The following is a 24366-nucleotide window of genomic DNA, read 5'->3' as shown; positions in this document are numbered from 1 at the left end:
AACTGATGTCATGGGAGTTTGTTGTACAGATTATTTTATCACCCAAGTATTAAGCCTAGTACCCATTAGTTATTTTTCCTGATCTTCTCCCTCCTCCCATGCTTCACCCTCCAGTAGACCACAGTGTCTGTTGTTCCTCTTTATGGAGACACATGTATTTTAATTATAATGTAAAGCAAAATAATAAATAGTAAAGTAACATAATGTAAAATAAGCTATCCTATTATTTTTTACATTTTTATAAATGTATTAAAAATACCATGTGTTCATACCAATGCCTCTTGATATCACAGGCTCATTCTAGCTTTGTCCTTTGTCATTTGTATTGATCATCTATCAATGAGTAATAGGAAGCAAAAGGAGGCTTACGACCCAGAGCCTGGGTGGAGCCTGAGTTCAGCTTGCAGATCATGGTGATGCTGCTTGTGAGGCTGGGAACCAGATATCTCCAGGTCCTCTGAAGTACCCTTGTGGGGACATATTCGAACTCCTTCAATTCCCAGAACTTCTGTGACTCCTTCAAAAGCCTGGAAAAGGAAAGGTTGTTCTCCCACTTCTTAAATAAGGAAGAGGTAAACCAAGACACTTGTACTCAGCGAAACCTGGTTGGAATCATTCAACACTGAGAATTTATTGCCTTGAGTGCAAAACTATTTAGAGGCTAGTTAAGAATTTTCTGGAAAATCGTAAAGTACAAGAAAAATGCCTATTGAAATAATAAATGTCATTTAAATTTGTGTGTGTGTGCGCGCGCACGCATGTGCATGCTATGGATTTAGTTCTTTTAGAATAGAAGAATTGAAGGCTTGTCAAAGCTATTCCCTTGGGTGTGGTGGTGGCAAAATGTTGTAAAATGAGGATGATAAATTAGTAGTTTGGAGGCAACTTGCGAATTGCACCATCTCAATTCCAGCCCTGGTGCTTCCTTGACTCACAGTGAGAAACTGAAGTATTTTTTCTCAGATTTACTAACGTGAGGGCTCTGACAGGTGAGAGAGGGCTCTGATGAATGTTTTCCTTACACACTGGAGTGCTGCTCTTTGCCCCCAGTGTGGCCACATCCAACTCAAAGCAGCTCAAGTGAGAGTCTCTATGGCCTAGCCTTCTGAAAACAGAATACTATACACACACCACAGGGGGAAAAATAAAGAGTCAAGGAAAAGGCATCACAGCTGCCTATTTGGGCCCAGACCTGAGATCATTTTTGTGACTTTTGGCTGTAAGATTTCAGGAACACTCAGATTTTAAATTTTAACGGGCAGTTTCTAAGGAATTACTTTTCTGGCAGCAGAGGTAAAGGCACAGAGGGAAGCTCCCAGGACTGCCTAGGGACACTTTCGGGCCTACGGAGACAAGGCTGCATCTTCTTTATCACAGTAGGTGTCAGCTGTCACTGGAAATAATTGTTCCCCTGACATTTTTGCCAACTGCAGAGTTACAAAAGGCCCTTTCACTATTTTTATCTTCATTCAGACTCTGGTAATTTTTTATAATTTCTGAATTTTCTTTTCATTTAAAAATATTAGTCTACTAATTCCACTTTTAGAAATTTATCCTAGGTATATGTTGAGAAATGCATGAAAATATTTACCACCTGTGAAGTTCATCATATCTTTATGTACATTGTACAAGATATTAAACAATCTAAGTGGTAGTCCCGGTTAAGTAGATTACGACAATGGAATATAGCGCGATTATTTCACAATTTTTTTCAAAGTCTGTTTAATAATATTTCTATCAGTTCAATAAGACCTCTTTTACCTGTGTGCCAGAGAGACTTTATTGGACTGTTGAAAATGTTCTAAAACTGATTAATAGTGATGGCTGCACAACTTGGTAAATTTACTGTTCATTGAATTGCACACTTGAAGTGGGTAAATTATATGATGCGTAAAATGTGTCTCATTAAAGTTGTAAGAAAATTGCTGATTGCTGAGACCTAGATCACTGCTGCTATCCATGGGTCAGAGTAGGGGTGTCACGGAGATTAGTAAATATGTGCAGTATAGACCGAGTTCCCTTGGCAGTTGTTGAAACGTCAATCATAGCTCCTAAGATTATTCTCCTAGTTCCTAGTTTCAGGTTCCTATTCTCCTAGGAGAATATGCATACTTGGAATTGTAATTTTCAGTAACTGGGATAACTCCCATATTGGCTACTAGACCCACTGAGTAGAAAGGAAAACTGAGAAGTCCGTGAACCTGTTACAGTGATGAAATCGCACTCTGGCTCTAACCAGTAGGAAGTGGTGCACACCCTAAATCACTGGGAAAGGCAAACTGCCAGAGGGAGGGAGATAAGCACCATGAACATGCAGGGCTCACCCTGATAAAGCACTGGGGTCTAGTGTCCTGGGGCACATCGGGATACCCCTCCCAGACAAAGGAGACAAAGGACAAGCTGCTAAACCTAGAGCTCCCCACCTCCAAGAAGACAACACGTTGGACTTTGGATATATATATTCCATAACTTTTGGGGGGCCCATTTTGATTCACTTACTGTTTTTTCAAATTACTTCCAGTTTTGATTGGTACCCAGAGGAAAAATCAGTTTTTCAAGTGATGCAGCTGCAGTAAAAGAAGCTGGGTTCATCAACTTACAAACTGGCAGAGCCAACTAAGGGCAAAGTACCCAAACAGCTTGGCTGCTGTCTGAAGCCCGCAGTGAGCCCAAGTGGAGAATGAGAGCCTCTGCATTCCATCAGGAATTACCTTCCCTTTGAGAAAACATTTCTTAGTTTGTAACTAGGCTCTGTGGAGACTCAGCATCTGACTATATCACCAGGTGCTGTAGACGCTGTTGGCTGTCAAACCAATTCCTATGTGCTCAAACCCTTATCCCCATGTCTGTAACATTAGCAGGACTGGAGGAGCTATATTATCAAATATTCCTCCACTTCTGTAGATGAGGGTGGGGTAGGATGCCACAGGTCACAGATTTTGGGCCAATAAGACCAAAGCAGAAGTCCCTGCAAAGATAACTGCAAAGGTGCTGGTCCTGGGTCACTGAGCCTGCATCCCCTCCGACTTATTTCTACAAGAGTACAAGAGAAAAGCAAAGCCCTATGTGCTGAAGTCACTATGAGTTGTATACTCTGTTGTTTGCATCCTGAAGCATCCCTAATTGATACACCAGGCATCTGTGTGACTTGAGCAGCCCTTGCTGACCTGGGAATTGTCAGTTTCATCTTAGAGAAGCTTTGCACCCCATTGTCTAGCAAGCCTGCAGCACCCAATCTCAGAGAGCCTCATCCCACCACCTTGTTCCTTTTTCTTCAAGCTTCACTTTTATCTTCAGGGTACATTCCTGAGGAACAATTCATTAGGAAGAAACAGATGACTCTGCATGGCATCACAGCTCAGCAGTGGCACTAAAGGACAGTGGAGGAGGAACCTCCCTGTGGTAAGCAGAACTTCAAGCCACATATTTCATTCCCCACATTTCCTGGAATGAGGGGTGGCTAGAGATAGGGGTGCACAGTTCATTCCAGCTCAGTGCTTTGGCCAAATAGCAAGGGATTTAGAAGCAACAGAGTGGACCTGGAGACAAAAAGCGTGGAAAAGAGGATATGGATTGTCTTTTCAGAATGGTGCAAGAGTAGCAGAATATCTGCATTCTCTGCGGCTGCTCCCAGGCTGGATGAGATGTCCTACTCTGTCACTGTGGGTCAGCATCCTCCTCCAACCAGCCAATCTCTTGCGTGGTGGTATTCTAGAGAGTGGCCAAACTGTCGGAAAGGAGGTGACGAAATGGGTCAAAAGCAATTCTCCACAACTTGCTTTGCCATCCCCTCTGCATAGTGCCCAAGCGGCTGGCACCATTCACCAAATTGAGATTTTAATATTTACCATACCCTAGGAACAGCCAGCTTCTTGGTAGCACAGTGACTGCACCAAGCATCTTCCGTCATAGAAGCACAGCGATCTGCTTCACTGGAATTAAGATGAACTTTGTGCTTCAGTTTGCATTCATGCTACTTTCAGCATCACTACGTCCCAGACTTTCTAAACATCTTATACGTTGTCATGTTGCCCCACATTACATTGCTTCTGACAAATAATTAATTTTATAAAAACAACTACCTTAATGTTTGTGGTTTTCACAGGATTTATCAGGTGTACTATCCTCCAGATATAGGCAGCATATATATTCTTAAATACATATTAAAAACTCAGTTTTGACCCCAGCTGGGAGAAGAGCATCTTGTGAGGCTGGGATGCTGTCCTGTGGATGCAATATGTCCACTGAACCAGCAGTCAGTATGTGGTGCTTTCTCACCCTTGGCCAAAATACATGGATCTAAAGGTAAGAATAAAGGTGGCATGCCTCATGATTAGACCTATAGCCTAATGAAACATTTGTATTTCCAGTCCTTGTACTTCAGTGTTTTTCTTGTTTGGAGGTTTACTAGCTATGGAAGAAACCCTCCTATTAAGGATCACAACAATGTCTTCAACTGCTTGGCCATTTATGTTTTCAGGCCATTTGGCACAAAGAAAAAGAAAAGAAAAAAGTAAAGAGGAGAAGTTGTAGTGTTTGGGGGGCATAGGTCCTCACTATGAAGGAAATACTGAAGTTTTTTACACAATGGCAACAGGAAGGCAAGTGAATGGAGCCCAGGTGATTCTCCCAGGTCCTTATGCAACCACGCCCAATGCTATCACTGTATATGGGCTAGAATGCCAAGGGTTGATATTCATTGGTAATGAAAAGTTGAGTTATCCCAATGGGTAAACAACAACTTAGTTATTGGCAGAAGGCAGAAGGAACATAGAATACATTATGGGGAATGCAGTCTCCATTGACGTTGCCTTCCATGCTGGGTCATGCTATGTTCATAATTTTTTTAGTGATCTTTTCTTTCCCATATTGTATATAGGTGTACAATAAGTCCTGGTAGTACTAACACTGAAACTGAGAGCATAGGTTGCAGGATATTGAGAGGGCACTGCAATTGCTCTAGAAGACTGTGTATTACTCAAGGAACGTGGAGTGGTTGAAGTAAATGACTACAACTTGGATTATATTCCACTGAGGAGTGCTGTACTTTTAATCATACAAGAAAGGACTATATTATTTTAGGCAAGAGTACTTTCTTCCATAGGATTGAAGAAAGGTTTACATAGGTGTTGAGTGGTCAAAGGGAGGGGATGTAGAAATATTTCACATTTTCTTTAGAGGAGGGCCGCTACCTTGATTCAAAGGCTCTTCCAGTTTTGAAGGAGTGCCTCATTACCAGGCTTTATGGGAGGCAGAGCCCTCCCTCCCAGGCCAGAAGCAGAGAGACCAGATGCTTCCTCTCACCCCTAGCCTGCCAGCAACCTGGGCTGTGGGCAGGTAGCCAAGGCTGGAGTAATCTGATGCTCTTACCCAGGACTCAAATCCTGCTTTTTGGGTGAGCCTCTGAGACAGCTGAGATGTGAGCCCTGATGAAATCTGCACCAGACTGCTCTCGGCAGGGAGCTCAGCTCGGTCCGGCTGCCTGGTCTCCTGCTTCTCTCAGACGGGCTTTTGAGCCTTCTCACTGCTGCTGTAAACTACTCAGCATCCTTCCTTCTCTGATTAACTACCAGTCAATTTCTATCACTTGCAACCAAGAATCCTGACTAATGTGCCAAGTAATTTCTCTTTACTCTGAGCACGCCTCAAAAATGAAACACTTCTCTAAAAACAACTTGTTTTTCTTACCACAACTGTTTGAAGTAGTTTGATAACATTGCTTGGCCTAATAATTGCATAAATTATCTGGTATTCTGAGCTCACACACAACCAAATCAGGCCCAATCTAAGAATGTTAGAAAATTGTCTTTTGCCATGAAAATGTTTTCATAGTCTATGTATGATATGTGTGTAATCCACACATCAAACATTTATTATTCATCTCATAGATCCCAAGAATGGACGCTATTGCCTTTCAAGAGTTCAGACTACAGAATAATTGAGTACTACATGTACCTACAAGATTTGAGAATAGTTGAGAAGAGTGATCAGCACAAGGCTGGGGTTGCAAGGAGCATCCCCAAGAAGGTGAAATGCAACATGCATTGCACTAGAAAAATAAGAGCATTTCTTCAAGCAGAGGGCACAACATATGCAAAGGCCCAGGAATATTTCACACACTGTGTCAGGGAACTACGGGATGTTTGAAGTGGCTACAGCAAGCTTAGGAAAAGAGCAGTCAAGGAAAATGAAGTGAGTGTTGGGCAGAGGTCAATTCATGGATGGCTCTGTTGATTTTTTCCTAAATGTAAAAGGAATGTACTAGTTTCTCAGCGCTGCCATAACAAAGTGCCACGGACTAGGTGGCTTAAACAACAGACATTTATTTTCTTTCAGTTCCGGAGGATGGAAGTCTGCAATCAGGCTGTTGGCAAGGCTAGTTTTTCCTGAGCTCTCTCTCCTTGGCTTGTAAATGCCACCCTCTCCCCGTTGTCTTCACACGGTCCTTCCTCTCTGTGGGTCTGTGTGTCCTAATCTCCTCTTCTTATAAAGATGCCAGTCAGATTAGATTAGGGCCCGTCCTAAAGACTTCATTTCAACTTAATTACCACTTTAGAGACCCTGTCTGCAGATAGTCACATTCTGAGTTACTGGAGATTAGGATTTCAACATATAAATTTTGTTGGGGATAAAATTCAGGCCAGATACAGTGGCTCACACCAGTAATCCCAGTGTTTTGGAAGGCTAATGTGGGAGGACCACTTGAGGCCAGGAGTTCAAGACTAGCCTGGGCAATATAGCAAGACCCCAACTCTACAAAATTTTTTTTAAAAAAATTAGCTAGGTATGATGGCACGTACCTGTAGTCCTAGATACTTGGGAGGCTGAGGAGAGAGGACTGCTTGAGCCCAGAAATCCAAGGCTTTAGTGAGCTATGATTGTACCACTGCCCTCCAGCCTGGGGGACAGAGAAAGACCCTGTCTTAAAAAAAAAAAAAAAAAAATCAGCCCCAAACAAGGAACACAGAAGGGTTTATACAAAGGAGTGACATCATTAGAGCAACTGTTTAACAGGCCCACTTTAATGACAATTTGGTGCCCTAAGTATGTGTATGTAATTAAAGTCAAAATATCCCATTGTCTACAGCAAGGAATCAGATAAGTGAAATGACACCCAAAAATAAGCCTTTATTGAACAAATTAAAATTTAAATTATTCTAATTCACTTTATCCTAAATTGAGCTTTGATTTAAATTCATATCACACCATGGCCAGAAGGGAGATGTAAAAAGGCCTGAGAGAAAACATACTAAAAATCAATTTTAAAAAGTCTTAAACAGTCAATCTCAGTTACAAAGCATTTTCAGATAGCAAATTCTTGCTGAATTTCTCTCAATTTCTATACTTTTGAGAGACTCCTTTTCTATACCAGTGTAGAGAGGAAGAAGCAAGGGCGTGGACAGAGTAGGAGGCAGAGGTAATGGTAGCATAAAATCCTAGATTGCCTACGTACTTCCCTGTTTTATTTCACAATTGATTTTACATAGCCAATTTCACCTTTAATCATGAAGTTTTAAATGGCTTTCATTTCAAGATCCAAAAGACTATTTTAAAACGTGACATCCCATACATCTTTATTACTCACTTTTCACCAAACACTTTGAATTATCAAATAGTTTCTTGAGGGTTATAAATGTTAATAATTTTTATTCCCCACAATACCTTTCATAGTACCCTGAGTGTATTAAATAGTGCTCAAATATGTTTTATTTAATTATTAAAATAAGAGACACTTGAATTTCATAGCTAGTAAAATCATTTAAATGTGTATGTGTGAATATACAAAGACATACACGTGTATTACATAGCAAGATTTATTTCAAAGCATTTTGAAAACTATAAATGGTTATACCAAGAGAAAACATAACACAGCTCTGGTTGACCCACGGTTGCCCTCTGATGTTTTCAAACCATTATCATAATAAAGTGGAGAATTTGTCAAACCCAAGAACTCAAAAGATGCGTTTCAGAAGTTTTCATATGGACAAAAAAACTTGAGAAATTATTTATCAAGGTATCACAGATGATAACCAAATGTCAAAATTTTAAAAGAGCAGAAAATGATAAATAGTTCTGTTGCTCAGGAGGAAGTACAAGAATGTCCATGTGTGAGAAAATATGTATGTGTATAAATATATTTCTATACATACACACATAGACACACACATGCACACACATATACATGTGTTTATGTGTATATATGTGTGCATATAATATATGCATATGCATATCTATATATCTTATTCCATTATTTTTATAGTGTCCCCAAATTTTGTCTTTTCATCAACTTACTCTGAAATTTTGAAACAAATTATAGTGTACATTTTGAACATCAGCTTTAATAAAGTTTCTAAGTGCCCCATTTAAGTTAATTTCTGACTTATTAAAACTTCCCTAATGAATATTTTTAAAATACACATGCTTAATAAGACATATTTTCTGCTTTTATAGGAACGTTTTGAGAGAGTTGATTTTTCTCTGTAACTTATATTAGCAGTAATTTTATGAACTTAGTACATGTGCTTGATATATTGTCAGTGTTATTGAACAGGCTGGTTGATAGTTTGTCATCAATGTGGTGCTGTATTTCTAGAAATATTAAGAACTTAACCAATTCAATTTTGCACTTGGAAAAAAAATGAGTTCCAGAGGCAAAATTCCATGTCCTACATAAGAATATCCAGGCCTTCAGGAATCCTAATCCCTTCACAGAAATGGTGACAGCTATGTTTTTATCCCAGCCCCATGTCCACAGCTCTCTCCTCTCAACAGAGGCTTTCTTGACAGAGGTACTTCTGTAATCAACAGAGCATGGAATGGGGAATGTGGCTAATTCTGTGCTAGCTCTTTTTAAAGCTTCCACCCAGAAGTGCCACACATCAGTTTTCACATTCATTGACCAAGACTAGTTACATGACCAAACCTAAGTTTTAGGAGAGAGGAAAGTTTAATCCTTCCATGTTCGCAGAAGGAGAACAGGAAATATTAGTGAGCAATGCTGATGACAGGCAGTCCACCGTAATCCACAAGGACTGATAACAGCATCAGTCAGTGTAGCCTGGGGAAGCAATGGCTACAGGATTTTGGTCAACATATTCTTAGAAATAGTACGCTTGTCTCTTCTATTTAAACCAAACAGGAAAACCTGATGATGATTTTTATTATCTTATTGACTTCCTAATTCCACAGGCCTGGTAAAAAGACTCTATTCCCTAGTGAAACATAGGTAACTTTTTAATGTACATGACTTGGTTGAGAGATTGAATTCCGCTAAGTTACAGGAAGTGTAGAACACAGGGCCTTCTTTGTTCGCTTATCAGTATGTAGATAATTGGGTTATACACAGGGTCTTCTTGTCAAAATGAATGGTATAGTACTTATGACTGGTGACACCATTCCAGGTGGCCCATATGTAGCAAGTAAGCCAACACTCCATAGACCATCCCCAAAATGAGAAGTCAGATGACTTGACTAATGACCATGAGGAGGATGTGGTATTCCCTTTTCTGAGGAGCAGTCTTCTTGGTTTTCCCAACCTGAATGTATATCATTTAAATCCTGTTAGTAAAGTTTTAAGATTTTTGTTAATGGCTCAAAAGAAAAAAAATAGAAATCATAGATAGTCCTTTTATCCCCAAATACAGGTTTTCATTGAATAGTAAAGGTGAGTAAGATCTGTAGTTTACAGATGAGATTATGAGACCTAGTTAATTTAAAAACCTTATACCATTTCTTTGAACATAATCTCAGCAATAGTTAATGAAATTTAATCATGAGTCAGAAAGGCTATACAGTAGTCCCCCTTTATCTATGAGGGATACATTCCAAGACCCTCAGCAGATGCCTGAAACCGTGAATAGTACTGAACCCTATATTATATATAGGGTTTCAGGTGTATATATATATACACACACACATGCATATATATATATGTCATAGTATAGTATATGGACATATATACTACATATGTTTTTTTCTATACATACATACCCATGATAAAGTTTGATTTATATATTAGGCATGGTAATAGATTAACAATAGCTAATAAGAAAATAGAGCAATTATAACAGTATGCCAGCATCACAACTCTTCCACTTTGGGGCCATTATTAAGTACAATAAGAGATACTTGAATGCAAGCATTGTGATACTATGACAGTTGATTGACCTGATAGGTGAGATGGCTACTAAGTGACTAGTGGGCAGGTAGCTTAGATAGTTTGATACGCTGGACAAAGGATGATTCATGTCCTAAGTGAGACAGCGTGAGATTTCACCATGTTACTCAGAATGGTGCACAATTTAAAACTTGTGAGTTGCTTATTTCTGGGATTTTTTCATTTAAAACATTTTTAAACCACAATTGACTGAGGGTAACTGAAAGCATAGAAAATGAAACCATAGATAAGCGGGGACCACTGTGCCCATATTGGGTTTTTGTTTTACAAACTATTCAACAGTTCATAAGTCCCTCAGCATAAATAAGAGAAATGGATTATTTCCCCAACTCTGTAGCTTTGAATGTTACAGATTTAGTGGAAAAAATGTTTTTGTCAGCTGGGCGTGGTGGCTCACACCTGTAATCCCAGAACTTTGGGAAGCTGAGGTGGGTGGATCACCGGAGGTCAGGAGTTCAAGACCAGCCTTGCCAATGTGGTGAAACCCTGTCTCTGCTAAAAATACAAAAATTAGCCAGCCATTGTGGCAGGCACCTGTAAGTCCAGCTACTCGGGAGACTGAGGCAGGAGAATCACTTGAACCTGGGAGGCAGAGGTTGCAGTGAGCCGAGACTGCAACATTGTACTCCAGCCTGGGAGACAGTAAGACTCTGTTTCAAAAAAAAAAAAAAAAGTTTTTGTCTCTCTTTATGTCACAGAAACTCTGCCCACCTAGATGCTAATTATCTTGGAGTGTAATTAATTACCATGACCTGTAGCTACATAAGTAAAACAACCAGGCTAAGGTTCTATGAAACAATACACTAACCAAGTCTTCCCATGGACTCGGAACTAGGAAAGCCTTTTTCTATTACTCCTAACAATTTAGAGATCATTCTCTTCTGCATCCTTTTCTCCTAATAAGCCATTAAAGGACCTTGAGACATCCATGAAAGAATCCTAAAACTCTACTTCTATAGGAAATAACAAGAGTTTTCTAAATTTCTCTGAACAACATCTCACTCTATTCCCAACCAAACTAGATTTGATTAGTTTGCAGACAGGCAGTAAGTTTTGGTGCTCATTATTTTTTTAAATCTCAGCAAAACAATAGATAATTATTAATGCTTTTAAAGAACAAGTTTTCAATGACTGCTCACTTACAAAAAATGTCTAATACTGTATAACAGAATCACTGGCTCATGTAGAACTGCCTCATCCTAAAATAGTCAGACACTACATTATAGTATTTGTGCTATGTGTTCATATGCAGTCACATATAACATATATTTGGCATGGCATGAATAGTTTCTGAAGGTAAAAATAAATAAATTTATATTAATTGTCACCTTTAGTTAAAACTGTGCACTATAAAGAATTGTGGAAGCAAAAGCTTAATAATAATGAAGGGTGAGAGGATTAAGATTTCTACCTCAATGACAACATAGTAGAATTACTGGGGCAAAGCTGAACTAAATGGTAGTTAATGTGTTGATAATAAAGCATCACATTTGAGCTTCATTTGCCTTTTAAAAACTAAGTTACTTCTACTTACAATTAGCATCCAAAAGAGTAAAATACGTAGGAATAAGTTTAATCGAAGGGTTAAAAGACTTATACACTGAAAACTATAAAACATTGCTGAAAGAAATTAAAGAAGACCTAAATATATGTAGACATCCATGTTCATGGATCAAAAGACTTAAGATTATTAAGATGATGATACTACTCAAAGTGTTCTACAGATTCAATTCAATCTCTATTAAAATTCCAATGTTTATTTTTGCAGAAATGGAAAAGCCAATTCTCAAATTCATAAATTCATAAAGAATTACAAGGAACCCAGAATAACCAAAACAATCTTGAAAATGAAAAAGTTGAAAACAATTTCAAAACTAACTACCTGTTACAGTGATAAAAAGAGTATGGTACTGGTATAAAGATAGACATATAGACCAATGAAATAGAATTGAGACTACAGAAATAAACCCATAAACCTATGGCTAATTGATTTTTAATAAGGATGCCAAGACAATTTAATGGGGAAGACTGTCTCTTCAACAAGTAGAGCTGTATAACTGCATATCCACAAAATATATTAATGATCTACCTGTAAGTGATAAAAACCAAAAAGCCCTTAGGAGAAAACATAGTAGTGAATTTTCATAACCTGAGATTTGGCAATGAATTCTTAAATGTAGCACCAAAAGCAAGTGCAACAAAAAATAGATAAGTTGGACTTCATCAAAATTAAAAACTTTTGTTTACCAAGGTACATTAGCAAACAAGTTAAAAGACAATCTACAGAATGGGAGAAAATATTTGTAAACATCTGCTAAGGGTCTATCTAGTATCCAGAATGTATAAAGAACTCTTACAACTCAGCAGAAAAGAAGTATCCCAATTAGAAAATGGGCAAAGAATTTGGACAAACATCTTGCAATGATACGCAAGTACCCAAAAACACATGAGAAGATACTCAACATCATTAACCATTAGGGAAATGTAAATCAAAACCTCAATGAGATTCCATTTCAAACGTACTAGAATGACTATAATAACAAAAAAAAGGAAGAAAGAAAAATTGAAATAACAAGTGTTGGTGAGGACATGAAGAAACTGAAACCTTCAGACATTGCTGGTGGAAATGCAAAATGGTACAACTGCTATGGAAAACAGTCTGGCAGTTTCCCAAAGAGTAAATAATAGAATTACCATATAGCCCAGCAATTCCACTCCTACGTAAATACTCCCGAAAATGAAAACAGATACTAAAAAAATACTTGTACATGGATGTTCATTGTAACACTATTCACAAAAGCCAAAAGGTGGAAACAACCCTAAATCTATTAAACATGAATGAATAAACAAAATATGACATACACATAAATGAAATGTTATTCACCTATAAAAATAAATGAAATACTGATACATCTTACAATATGCAAAAACTTCAAAAACACTATACTAAGTAAAAGAAGCCAGACACAAGAGGTCACATATTGTGTGATTTCATTTTTTATAAGATATCCAGAGTAGGTAAATCTACGGAGACTGAAAGAAGAATGATGGTTGCCAAGGCTTGGGAAAAGGTGAGAATAACAAGTAACTGTTTAATGGGGTTTCCTTTTGGGGCGATTGCATTAGTCCGTTTTCACACTGCTATAAAGATACTATCTGAGACTGGGTAATTTATAAACAAAAGAGATCTAATTGACTCACAGTTACTCATGGCGGGGGAGGCCTCAGGAGACTTACTATCATGGTGGAAGGTGAAGGGAAAGCAGGCACCTTCTTCACAAGGCGGCAGGAGAGAGAGAGATAGAGGAAGGAAGTGCCACATTTAAAACCATCAGCTCTCTCATCAGCTCTCTGATAGTGAGAACTCCCTCACTATCAGGAGAACAGCTTGGGGGAAACCACCTCTATGATCCAATTACCTCCTACTGGGTCCTTCCCCTGACATGTGGGGATTACAATTCGAGATGAGATTTGCAGGGGGACACAGAGCCAAACCGTATCAGCAATGAAAATGTTATGGAACTTAAAATAGGTGGTAGTTGTACAATGTTGTGAATGTACTAAATACCACTGAATTGTGCACTTTAAATAATTAATTTTATGTGAATTTCCCTGCGGTTTGTTAAACTAAAAAATAATGGGTTAAAACGAGCTTAAGGATATTCCAAAATTGTATCCTTCTCAATCACTTGAATTTAGGTAGAAGTTTTTGAACTGCAGAGTGAATCAAAGGCTGGAAGTTTTGGGTTGCCCAAGGGAATATATTACACAGCAGTCCGTCATTTGTCATGTATGTGGTTAAAAAGGACAGAACACTTGGCCAGGACTGTAGGGTCAGCTCTAATATCCCAGGCCCTGATGATATGTGATGATGGTTTTTTCCCTCTGGGATGAGGGTTATCAGATTTGCTTACATAATCAAGAAATTCTTCAATACAGAAGCTTTTAGTAAAGCAGCAACATTATTAAAATTGCTATATCTCCATATGCTCATGTGAAAACACCAATGTGTTGAAAATTTTCTTCTTTAATCCTCAAGTTTTAGGGTTTTGCCTCTTAAATATATTTCCTCTCAATGACATTTAATATCCCTAAACACAAAATGGAATGATGCTAATTCAGTCATTCTATAACATCAATACAGCATTTAGACCTGAATAAAGGATGTCCCTCATTGTTTAGGTGCATCTTGAATTCCCTATCTGTCTGGTGCAAGGAAATGAAGGGGTAATAAAATCAGAGTGTGCATGGAAGCATTTGATCAAACTCCATGAGCTGCTGCTGGGGCTTGGAGTGGGGGTGTTTCCAAGTGGACCACATAAGGTTGTGGCATCATTTTGGATAAACATTGAAAATATCTAAAGTGTAATCTATTCAGGATGATGGCACATTACAGGGAAACTATAATAGCTGTGAAGAATTCATAGGCATCTGCCACGCACAATTTAACTAAACAATTTGCCAGTCCCGTCTTTTAGAGTGGCATTTTTAACACCTTCATAAAACAACCACATAAAAGAAAGAACAATCTACATTTATTCAAAAAGACAGCCAGCTTTCCCAATAAAAACAGAGCAAGAAACATAGATTCCATGAGTTAATATGAGGCAGAGCCACACAGGAGTCCCTGGAGTCATTAAGACAATTAAGTCACTAAATGACGTGGAGAATCAGTTGAATTCCTTCGTCAAGAAAGAAATAAAAATTATTCACTTAATACAGGTTTGCTTATTTATAGTACCACAGGAGTCATTTTTTGTTTTCTTCCTCTATGTTTTTCTCTGAATCTGAGAGCCCCGTACTTATGTACAGTTTCAAAATAACAGATGATTCAGATCAAGCCTTAATGCCTAGTCAGCAGGAAAAGGAAGAGAGAAAGATCTTTACTAATAAAGTTACCAAGACTCTGACAAGCTGTTCCCCATGGATTTAAATTCCCACAGACGACCAGCTCCAAATCCCAGAGAAATTTTACAAAATGAGCGTAAATAGGAAGGTTTAATTAAACAAGAGTGCTCTTTCTAAAATGAGAAAAAACTTATTTTTATGTGAAGAATAATCATTTCAAAAGAGAATCTACAGGTAAGAATCATGTGTTCTCAAAAGCTGAGGTAAGCAGAATTACTTACTGCTGCCTAAAATGAAACTCAGCTGACATCATCATCCTTATCCCGTTAGGTATATTGAGAATATTTTTAGAAACCGTATTTCTATATATTTCTGAACAAAATTTGAGGGGCCTCAGAACCTGTTAAGTTACCATCTTTCAATGATAATCCTGCAGAGACCCAGAAGGAAAAGCGATCCTAGAGGAAGGCTACTGTTCTTTCTGTGGCTTACCTGGAAAGAAACTCTCAGGTGGATTTGAGGAATATCAAGGCCATTCCTTTTTGTTGCCTGTTTCTCTGAACCGTTCTCACTCTGAGGGAATAAGCGGCTGGAGGTGCAGAGGGAGAGATACATAAGACAACTTCCCATTCTGAATGGGTACCACAGGTGCCACTATTCTCTCATTTCGCCAAAAGGTTGTGAAATAAGGGTCAATTCTGGGATTCATAAGTCCTTTCCTCAGTACATTCTAAATTTTCATTAGCTCTTCCTGTTAATTCACAGAACTCAGACTTCCCAAGCAGGGGGCAGGAGGGTGGCAGGGTCCTCTCTTCTGAAGAAAATCTTTCAGCCAGGGATACTGAGGCACTCTTCTGGGGCCCTGTGCAGAGCGACTACCTGGAATGTCCAGACAGGGTTGGAGAGGTCTCTTCTCTGTCACCCCCTCATCCCTAACCCACCTCTCCTCTACTAGGTCCCTAACTTCATACACAGTATAAACTCAGTGTTGAAGCATGATGGGGCACCATCTGCTACTGAGTGGGGAAAGGAAAGTGAGTCCAGACAGGGTAGAAGTGACACAAGTTGAGTCAGTGAAGGCTTTATTCCGAAAAATAAAGTCACTCCAGGTGCTTCAAACAAGGAATTGAATTCTGCAGGTCAGGAATAAGATAGTGGAATTGCTGAAAGACTAAACAAACAAACAGGGATAGTAAGGTCAACCAGAGGTTCATCCCTCCTGCAGCTGCAGGGACAAAGGAATGAGGTGGTCACCCACCCGAAGCTGGAACTGCAGCAGGCCAGTCTGGTGGGAGCTGAGCCCACAGAGGGAGAGCATGCCTAGGGGATCCTGGGTCCACCAGGGGACTTGGCCAGAAATGCCACAAGGCAGAGTGAGAGCTTCCCCCATCTCCTTGCCTCCAATTTTTGGCACATGCCTCCCACTGGCAAAACCTACCTGAAAGACAAAGGCAAAGAGACATGGAGAATATTGTTCCCTGATATACAGAGCAGACTGGAGAAAGCACAGGGTGGACCGAGAACCAGCACTCTGGCATCTGATGCAGAATTCGGGCTCAATGAGTTTGCAGTCAGTGTAGTGAAGACAAAGATGTGTGTCCCTGTCACAGTTCAGCTTCAATAGTCCCTGTTGCTTACAGAAACTATGGTAAATAAATTACCTTTTGTATGCTAATACTGACCAATTAGCTGTGGTTGCCTGGAGCTGTGTGTTTCAAAGGATTTTGAGGCTAAAATCAGACTCAGCAGGAAATGGTGCTGTGACCACTTAATGTTGTTTGTCCTGAATGTAGGAAGGATGTGGCGGCATACGGACACTGTACTGTTCCTGTAAGTTGTACTTTCAGTCAATATTAGACAAGTGTAGCCCACCATACATACCATGTGATAGCTCCCCTCCTTGCCTGTTTCATATTGTCCCCTCTAGGGGAGTACCTGCCTTTCCTCCCTGTTATATATACAAAGTGCTTATCCAGTTTTTAAGACTCAGGCCAGTATGTTCTCCACTATCTATTCTCCTTCCCTAAGTGGGATGAAGCACCATTAATCCATCTTCACATTCTACCATGTGCCTGTCTCTCTCATTGTATTTCCCACATTCAGTGTACTTCCCACATTCTATCATGTGCCTGTCTTTATCTACTTTCCACATTACATTGAGTTATCTCCTGATGTGACTGTCTCCTTCTCACCAGAAAATGAGTTCTCTCATTTTCTGGTAAGGACAGAGACCTTACCTCATCTAGCTCAAAATCCCTGGCATTTGGCCTTGTGAGTGTCCAAAACTTAGTAGGTAATCAATACATATTTGTTGAAATAACAAGTCAATAAAGTGGGGATGATATTCAGATAGCTATGGTTGCACTGCAGGAGACATGCACTTCAGGCAAAAAGTAGGCTGGGAAAGATGGTCAGAGGTGGAGTCCAGCCTCACAGGGAGGTAAGGTTTGGCTTGAGAGAGGATTCCATATCTAGCGGGGACTAAGATGCTAACCAAGAGTTAGGTAGAGTTTATCTTTATTACCAGGAAACCATGGCTGTAGCTTAACAGTATGTTGGAAGAGGGGCTTATTGGGTTAAGGGAACACTCACTGGCATGTGAAAGGGTCTTGACCTAAGAGGATGTGAGTAAGGCAGCACAGTAAAAGCTTGTGACTGCACCAGGACTCAGTGCACAGGTGTGGTGACAGGTGCCAAGGCACCTACTGCTCAGACTATTTAGCCCAAAATTTTCTCTTCAGACTACTCACCTGCATTTCTTCCAGATGGCAGAGCCCACCTGTGGCCCTGCTCTTCTAAAGGTTACTGTTGTTTCTGCACAACTTGTTCCTGTTTTTCATCATCAAGTCCAATACCTATCTATTTATTGTCATTTGCTTTGTTCTCTGGAAAACTGTAGTCCCTTTCTGTTTGAGTTATTAGGTCCATCTCTTTGGCTTTCAGATAAATGATTGTCCCATAATCATGTAAACCTTGTACATGAGCCATCAACTGGACCCCTGCAACAGAAGACCCCCAACTAGCACTGTCAGTGTTGTGGGCATAAAACATGCCACCTGGTCCCATTCATAATCAGCCCATTCTGACTTCCCAACCTGGACTTCTTTCTTCTCCTCTACCTTCCCTTCACCTCCCTTTCTCTCCATTTCCCTTTCATTTAGTTTTTCAAAACGGAAGTTCTAAAAGAAATGACTTCTCAACACCATGACTACATATAATCCCCAAGAAGGACCTCCAAAACCTCCCCCCAGGCTCAGGAGCTGCCACCAACCCCCTACATTTCCCTGCCCCTCAACATTTCCCTTCTTTCCCCCATCACACAGCTTCACACGGGCCAGGGCTTTGGCGGACACTAGCAGACAAACCTGTAACAGAGTCTACATCCTTCCCCTCAGATCACCTACCTACTTTAAATTCTATATATGCATTTCCCCCATATGCCCCTTTTAACCAGCAGACATTAAGGCATATTTCTGTGTTTGAATGTTTGTCACAGGGATTCCCTGGCATTCTTATCTTGGCATATGAAGAAATGGTTCCATTGATTTAGTTGAGGGCCCTGCAATCAGATTATTGTAAAATGCTTCAGAAGCAATAGGGAATTTTTCACTTTATTTTTATTTACATGATCAACAGAAGTTTCTAAAGATTTTCCTAGGTTTACTTTTGATTGCTATTTTAAACTCTCAATCTTCACAACTTCTGGTTTCTCGTGACCGTGGAAGAGTGAGTTGATGTGATTGGTGTACCTTCTTGAGTATATGCCTGAGATATCCAATGCACAATGTCCCCTCACAATCCCCTCACACCAGCAAACACCCTGCCGTGACAGGTGGTGGTGGTCTTCCTTTTGTCTCCACTGTGTAGACATGTTAACCCACTATCTTCAGGCTTTTAGTCATGCAGAGAAGAAGCCTGGTGTCAACTTAAGGCCATTTGCCTTGTAAGTTATTCTCCTTAGATCTTGGTTTTTAAAGGTTTACTTTTTTCTTCTGAGAATTCAATATTTCCAAAGAAATTCATCCTATCTGGCACTTGATAGCCCTTTTCATTAGCAGATCCAAATCTTTCTTTTGGTTAGATGTTCTAGCCAGGACCTTCAAGGAATTTACCTTTTTGATTATGATTTTCATGGGTCTAGGCTTTGATATTTTTCTTCAACTTAACCACTTAGGCAATTAATTTGGTTCTCAAGAATGAGTGCTCTTTCATTTTATCAAATTATTATTATCATTATTTTTGAGAATGAGTTTTGGTCTGTCACCCAGGCTGGAGTACAGCGGCATGATCTCTGCTCACTGCAACCTCTGCCTCCTGGGTTCGAGCAGTTCTCCTGCCTAAGCCTCCAGAGTCTCTGGGATTACAGGAGTGTGCCACCACTCCTGGCTAAGTTTTGTACTTTTAGTAGACATGGGGTTTTGCCATGTTGGCCAGGCTGGTCTCGAATTCTTGGCCTTAGGTGATCAGCCCGCTTTGGCCTCCCAAAGTGCTGGGATCATAGGTGTGAGCCACCACACCTGGCCCAAATTAACTTTATTTGTTTATTTATTTATTTATTTATTTATTTTATTTTTATTTTTTTTGAGACGGAGTTTCACTCTTGTTGTCCAGGCTGGAATGCAATGGTGCGATCTCGGCTCACCACAACCTCCATCTCCTGGGTTCAAGTGATTCTCCTGCCTCAGCCTCCAGAGTAGCCTCAGGTGATCCGCCCGCCTAGGCAGTCCCCAGCCTTTTTGGCACCAGGAACCAATACTGTGGAAGACAATGTTTCCACAGACCTGGGGAGCGGGTGGTTTCGGAATGAAGCTGTTCAACCTCAGATCCTCAGGCATTAGTTAGATTCTCATAAGGAGTGAGCAACCTAGATCCCTCGCATGTGCAGTTCACAACAGGATTTGCACTCCTATGAGAATCTAATGCCACCCGTGATCTGACAGGAGGCGGAGCTCAGGTGGTAATGCTCACTCGCCAGCCACTCACCTCCTGAGGTGTGGCCAGGTTCCTAATAGGCCACAGACTGGTACTGGGTTGGGGACCCCTGCTTTAAAAGATCATGTGTCTTAGCTCTGAAAAGCCCGTCTTTATCTAACTGAATTCCTTTAATTGCCCCTATTACTTTTTGTTGTTATTGTTAAAGTCGTTGCTGACTTTGTCGACTCCTTAATTTCAACAGCAGCCCCTATTCTAGGTATTTTGCTTTGTCTTCTCCCTTCTGGTAGCCAGGTCTGCATAGGTGAGGTTTGGCTTTGTTTCTGGTTTGCCTGCTTTCAGCTCTGTGAATCCTCTGTGTCAGAAAGTGCTCATTGCCTTCCAGTGTCCTTCTCTGCTTCTGCTTCTTCTTACCAACAGAACATTTTGTTGCACCAAATCTCCCAGCCTGCCTTCAGGTAGGAAGAGCACAGTCTGAGCCAATGGGATATAAGTGGAAGTTGCTACGGGATGGTCAGTGTCAGCTGACACGCTGGTTGGCCTTCTCTTCTTCTGACCAGGTTCAGGAACTTGATGCTAGAGCTAGAGAAGTCATCTTGAAAACTACAAGGTAATAAGCATGCTGTCTGCTAATTGCAGTTGCGCAGAATAACAGAAAGAACCCAAGTCTCTCACAGCATCATGGACCTGCTATGCCAACCTTGAAATGCCTAGCTCTGGACTACCTGTTACAGTGAAAAAAATAAAACCCCTAATTTGTTCAAGCCAATCTATTAATAGCTACATTTTCTATTATTCCTAGCTAGATGCAATCCCTAACCAGTACAGTCTCTGCTGTTGCTACCTCTTGGAAAACCAGCCGGTGTTAGAGAGGCAGGGTGATTTCCACCCCTCTGAACTGGCAATAAGCCAGCCCACAGTAACCTGTTGCCCCAGGTCATGGGCTGAGCAGAGGATTTGGGGGCCCATTTCTCCTGAAATGTTAAGTACCAGCCCCTACCAGCCTGAGAGATAAACCGTGAATTAGTCAGCTTGAACAGCAGCAACAAAATACCACAGGTCGGGGTCTTAAAGAACAGACACATATTTCATCGCAGCCCTGGAGGCGGGAAGTCTGAGCTCAGGGTGATGGCGTGCCCAGATTCTGCTGAGGGCCTCTTCCTGGCTCCCGGATCTCCTCACTAAGTTCTCAAATTGTGGAGCGAGAACTCTGGCATCTTTTCCTTTTCTTTTAAAGGCACCAGGTTTATGGGAGCAGGGCTCCATCCTTATTACCTCATTTCACCTCAGTCACCTCCTTAAAGGTCCTGTCTTCAACACACTCCCTGGGGGTTTAGGGAGGACAAAATATGAATTTGGGAAGATACAACTCTATCCACAGCAGACAGCACCTCAGCCCTCCAATGCTGCTCCCTACAGATGTGCTGGGGCCAGCAATTCCTGGCAGATACTGCCGGGGTCACACACTCATGGTGGTAGGAGATGGTCAACTCCACTGCCCCCCATTATTTCCAGCTCCTTGTGGAGAGCCACTCTTCTTGGACTGAAGCTCCTCAATCGACACTTCAGGTCTCTGAGCCCCTCAGAGATAGAGCTGATCCCACCTTCCCACCTTGTCCAGGGGCTGAAGCCCTGGCCCCCAAGCCTCCTTCATTGTGCACCAGTGCCAAACCCAGGCAAGTACTCCAAACACTTTTGCACATTGCTTCTTGGTATCAGAGTCGCCAAGCACTGTCTGGAGTGATGCTTTCACTTACATAGGGAAGAGACCAGCTTCAGTACTGTGTGCTGGTTCCCTACAGCTAGTGAGTCTCTCCAGGCAGCCCATGCAGAGATGTGACTACAGACACCCTGTTCATCCCTCAGCAGAAGGACCCCATCCCCTCCTTGTGGAGGACAGATACAGCAGTGAGGTTGGCCAGGTGCCGTGTGAGGCACACACTTGAGCACAGCAAATGGGAATGTACTAAGCTTGCAATGGGGAAAGATATCCCCACAAAGGCAATTAGTCTGGCACAGGCTGTGTGGGCTCATTATCTCTGGGAAAGGCACTGTTCCAGGCACAAGAGTCATTTTTATGTGGCCAAAAGAAGTCGAGAGACAGCTTGCATGGGACGGCCTTTCCCAGTTGTGCTGTGTCAGGGGATTTAGAGAGGGACTAGATATGGGGAATGAACATTCAGGCCACTATCACATCTAGGACAGGGCGGTCCCCAACGGTTTAGCCATTTCTGCTGTCTAGGATCACTCGTAACAATTGCTAACTAGATCTCATTTGGAAAACTTCTCTGTATTGAAAAATCCCTAACTACTTAAGATTGTCCTGCCTCACATGGATGGAGCAGGCCCTTTCTTATTAAATGGACTGGTTCTTTCAGAGAAGGAATGAAATGGAGCTACTCATGGCCTTTTCAATGTTCTTCCAAGCATAAATTATCCACTATCTCTAACATCCGAGTCAAACGCTCTCCGGGAAAATGAAATAGCAACAGGCAAAACGTGACATCCCAAACCATCTACCAAATTCCTGGGAAATGGAGATGGAAAAAGGATTTGTTTGTAGGGTCTATGGTTTAAAAAATTCATGCAATTTCTTCCTTTCTTTCTTCGGTTTTCTGAAGCCTTTTCTTCCCTTCATCATTCAATAATGAAAGGCTGAATAACAGCAGTTTTATATTGAGCGCTTATAAATTGGAAATGGATTTTAAGTAATGCAGCAAAATCCTGTACCACAAAAATCGATAAACTCCATGGACTGCGTTATGAGGGATTTGACCTATTTAAGGAAAGTACTAAAGGATTAATAAAGTATAGTAGCAAGTCCCGGAGTGCTGGGGGTTTCTCTGGCTTGCCTTCCCTCCACCTGCCTGTACTTGTAGGGGTGGAAGGGACTCAGGCCGTCAGACCTGCACGTGCTGAATGGAGCTGCTTGTTGATACTCACTAGTCCCTGCTCCAAGGCCAGCCTTTCCACCCTATTTGTTCGTACTGTGCTGTCCCACCTAAGCAGCCCTCTCTCCAAAGACCCTCTTGTCCATGCCACCTCATGCTTCTAGAAGCAGCTCACCATCATCAAGCTTCACTGTGCATACATCTTTCTCATTGAATGTGGCTCAGCATATTCCTGTCCTGTGTGTCCTCCTCTGCCACCACGGACTCCTTGAGGGCAAAGACCACACCACAGCTGCAGCGCACGGCACTGGGAACAACCCTGAATTATTTTAATTCAGCACAATTAGCTGAAATAAGCACATGGCCCTCTTCTCACCTCCAAGTTTTGGCTCATTATGTTTTATAATCTACTAGACTTTTCCTTGTTCTTTTCTCTGGCTGTGCAACTACTACCTGCCTGGTCCCACCTCCTCCATGAAGCCTTCTATGATTATCCTTTATTGATTTATTTTCCCCTCTAAAATCCCATAGCACCCTTTACAGGGCTTGGCTCTCAGTGCAAAATTCCTTACTTTGCCTACTTGTGTGTTTGCCTTTTCTCTCCAATTATAGTATAAGGTCCTTGAACAGAAGTCTGTATTACTGAGTGATTGAATATGTGTTTCATGAGTAAGAGGTCTGTCTCTGCCCAAGTAGTAATTCCTGCATCACTTGGGCCATTGCCCAAGCCCTGGCACACAGCCACTCTCCTTGGCCACCCTACCATAGTCCCCAGTCATTCGGCTACTGTGCACCAAGACTTAACTGTGAATCCCTCCAGCCTGTTCTAACCCTGGCTGGTAATATCTGTGTTCCCTAGTTTGAGATGAGAGTAGGGTTGAGTGTGGGGAATTTGTCTCGGCATTCCGATTTCTAGTACTAGGTGCCAAACTTCCCTGGGCCAGATTGACAAAGGCCATGAATGACAGTGAAACCAGTGACCCAAGCAGCAAGCTAGGCCATATTCATCATTAAGACAAACCACCATTATTTTGTAGTTGAGGGAACTGAGATCCTTCCCAAGGAATTAATCTCTCTGAAAGGGCTCTTAATCTGGAGTCTATGACCCGTCAAGGGCAGTGGATGGAATTCAGGGATCTATGAACTCGGGTGGTGTCTTAGTTTCCTACTGCTGTTTTTTACAAACGACCACAAATTTTGTGGCTTAAAAATCACACAAATGTTTGTCTTTCCAGTCCTGGCAGTCAGAAGTCTGACATCAAGGTGTGGGCAGCACTGCATCCTTCTGGGGAATCCACGGGGGAAGCCACTTCTTTGCTTGTTTCCAGCTTCTGCAGACCACTGGCATTCCTTGGCTTGTGGCTGCAACACTCCAATCTCTGCTTCCATCATTGCATCTCTTTCTCTAACTCTAATGCTCTTCTTTACCTCTTATAAGGACCCTTATGATTACATTAGGTCCAGAATTACCTCCCTATTTCAAGATCTTTAACTTAACTACATTGGTCAACTTCCCTT

The 24366-nt window shown here is 41.1% G+C and overlaps 1 long non-coding RNA gene across 2 annotated transcripts in view, besides 2 other annotated features; it reads right to left on the bottom strand.

Moving 5' to 3' along the window:
• The window catches only part of LOC102724744 (uncharacterized), an 81680-nt gene that overhangs the window by 32326 nt on the left and 24988 nt on the right, over positions 1-24366 (bottom strand). The window lies entirely within an intron of this gene.
• Positions 2696-3895: an enhancer, noted in NCBI's record as "CDK7 strongly-dependent group 2 enhancer chr2:107363599-107364798 (GRCh37/hg19 assembly coordinates)". NCBI's record gives its function as "activates an origin of replication core promoter dependent on BRD2, BRD4, P300/CBP, MED14 and CDK7 cofactors, with strong dependence on CDK7, by STARR-seq in HCT116 cells {active_cell/tissue: HCT116}" and the evidence as "EXISTENCE:reporter gene assay evidence [ECO:0000049][PMID:35650434]".
• Positions 16437-17026: an enhancer, noted in NCBI's record as "NANOG hESC enhancer chr2:107350468-107351057 (GRCh37/hg19 assembly coordinates)". NCBI's record gives its function as "activates a minimal SCP1, AML or CMV promoter by ChIP-STARR-seq in naive H9 embryonic stem cells {active_cell/tissue: H9 hESC(naive)}" and the evidence as "EXISTENCE:reporter gene assay evidence [ECO:0000049][PMID:30033119]".

This window comes from Homo sapiens, chromosome 2 (genome assembly GCF_000001405.40).
Source record: "Homo sapiens chromosome 2, GRCh38.p14 Primary Assembly".
Lineage (NCBI taxonomy): Eukaryota > Metazoa > Chordata > Mammalia > Primates > Hominidae > Homo > Homo sapiens.
The sequence above is the reverse complement of the archived record's forward strand: the minus strand, read 5'-3'. Positions and strand labels throughout refer to the sequence as shown.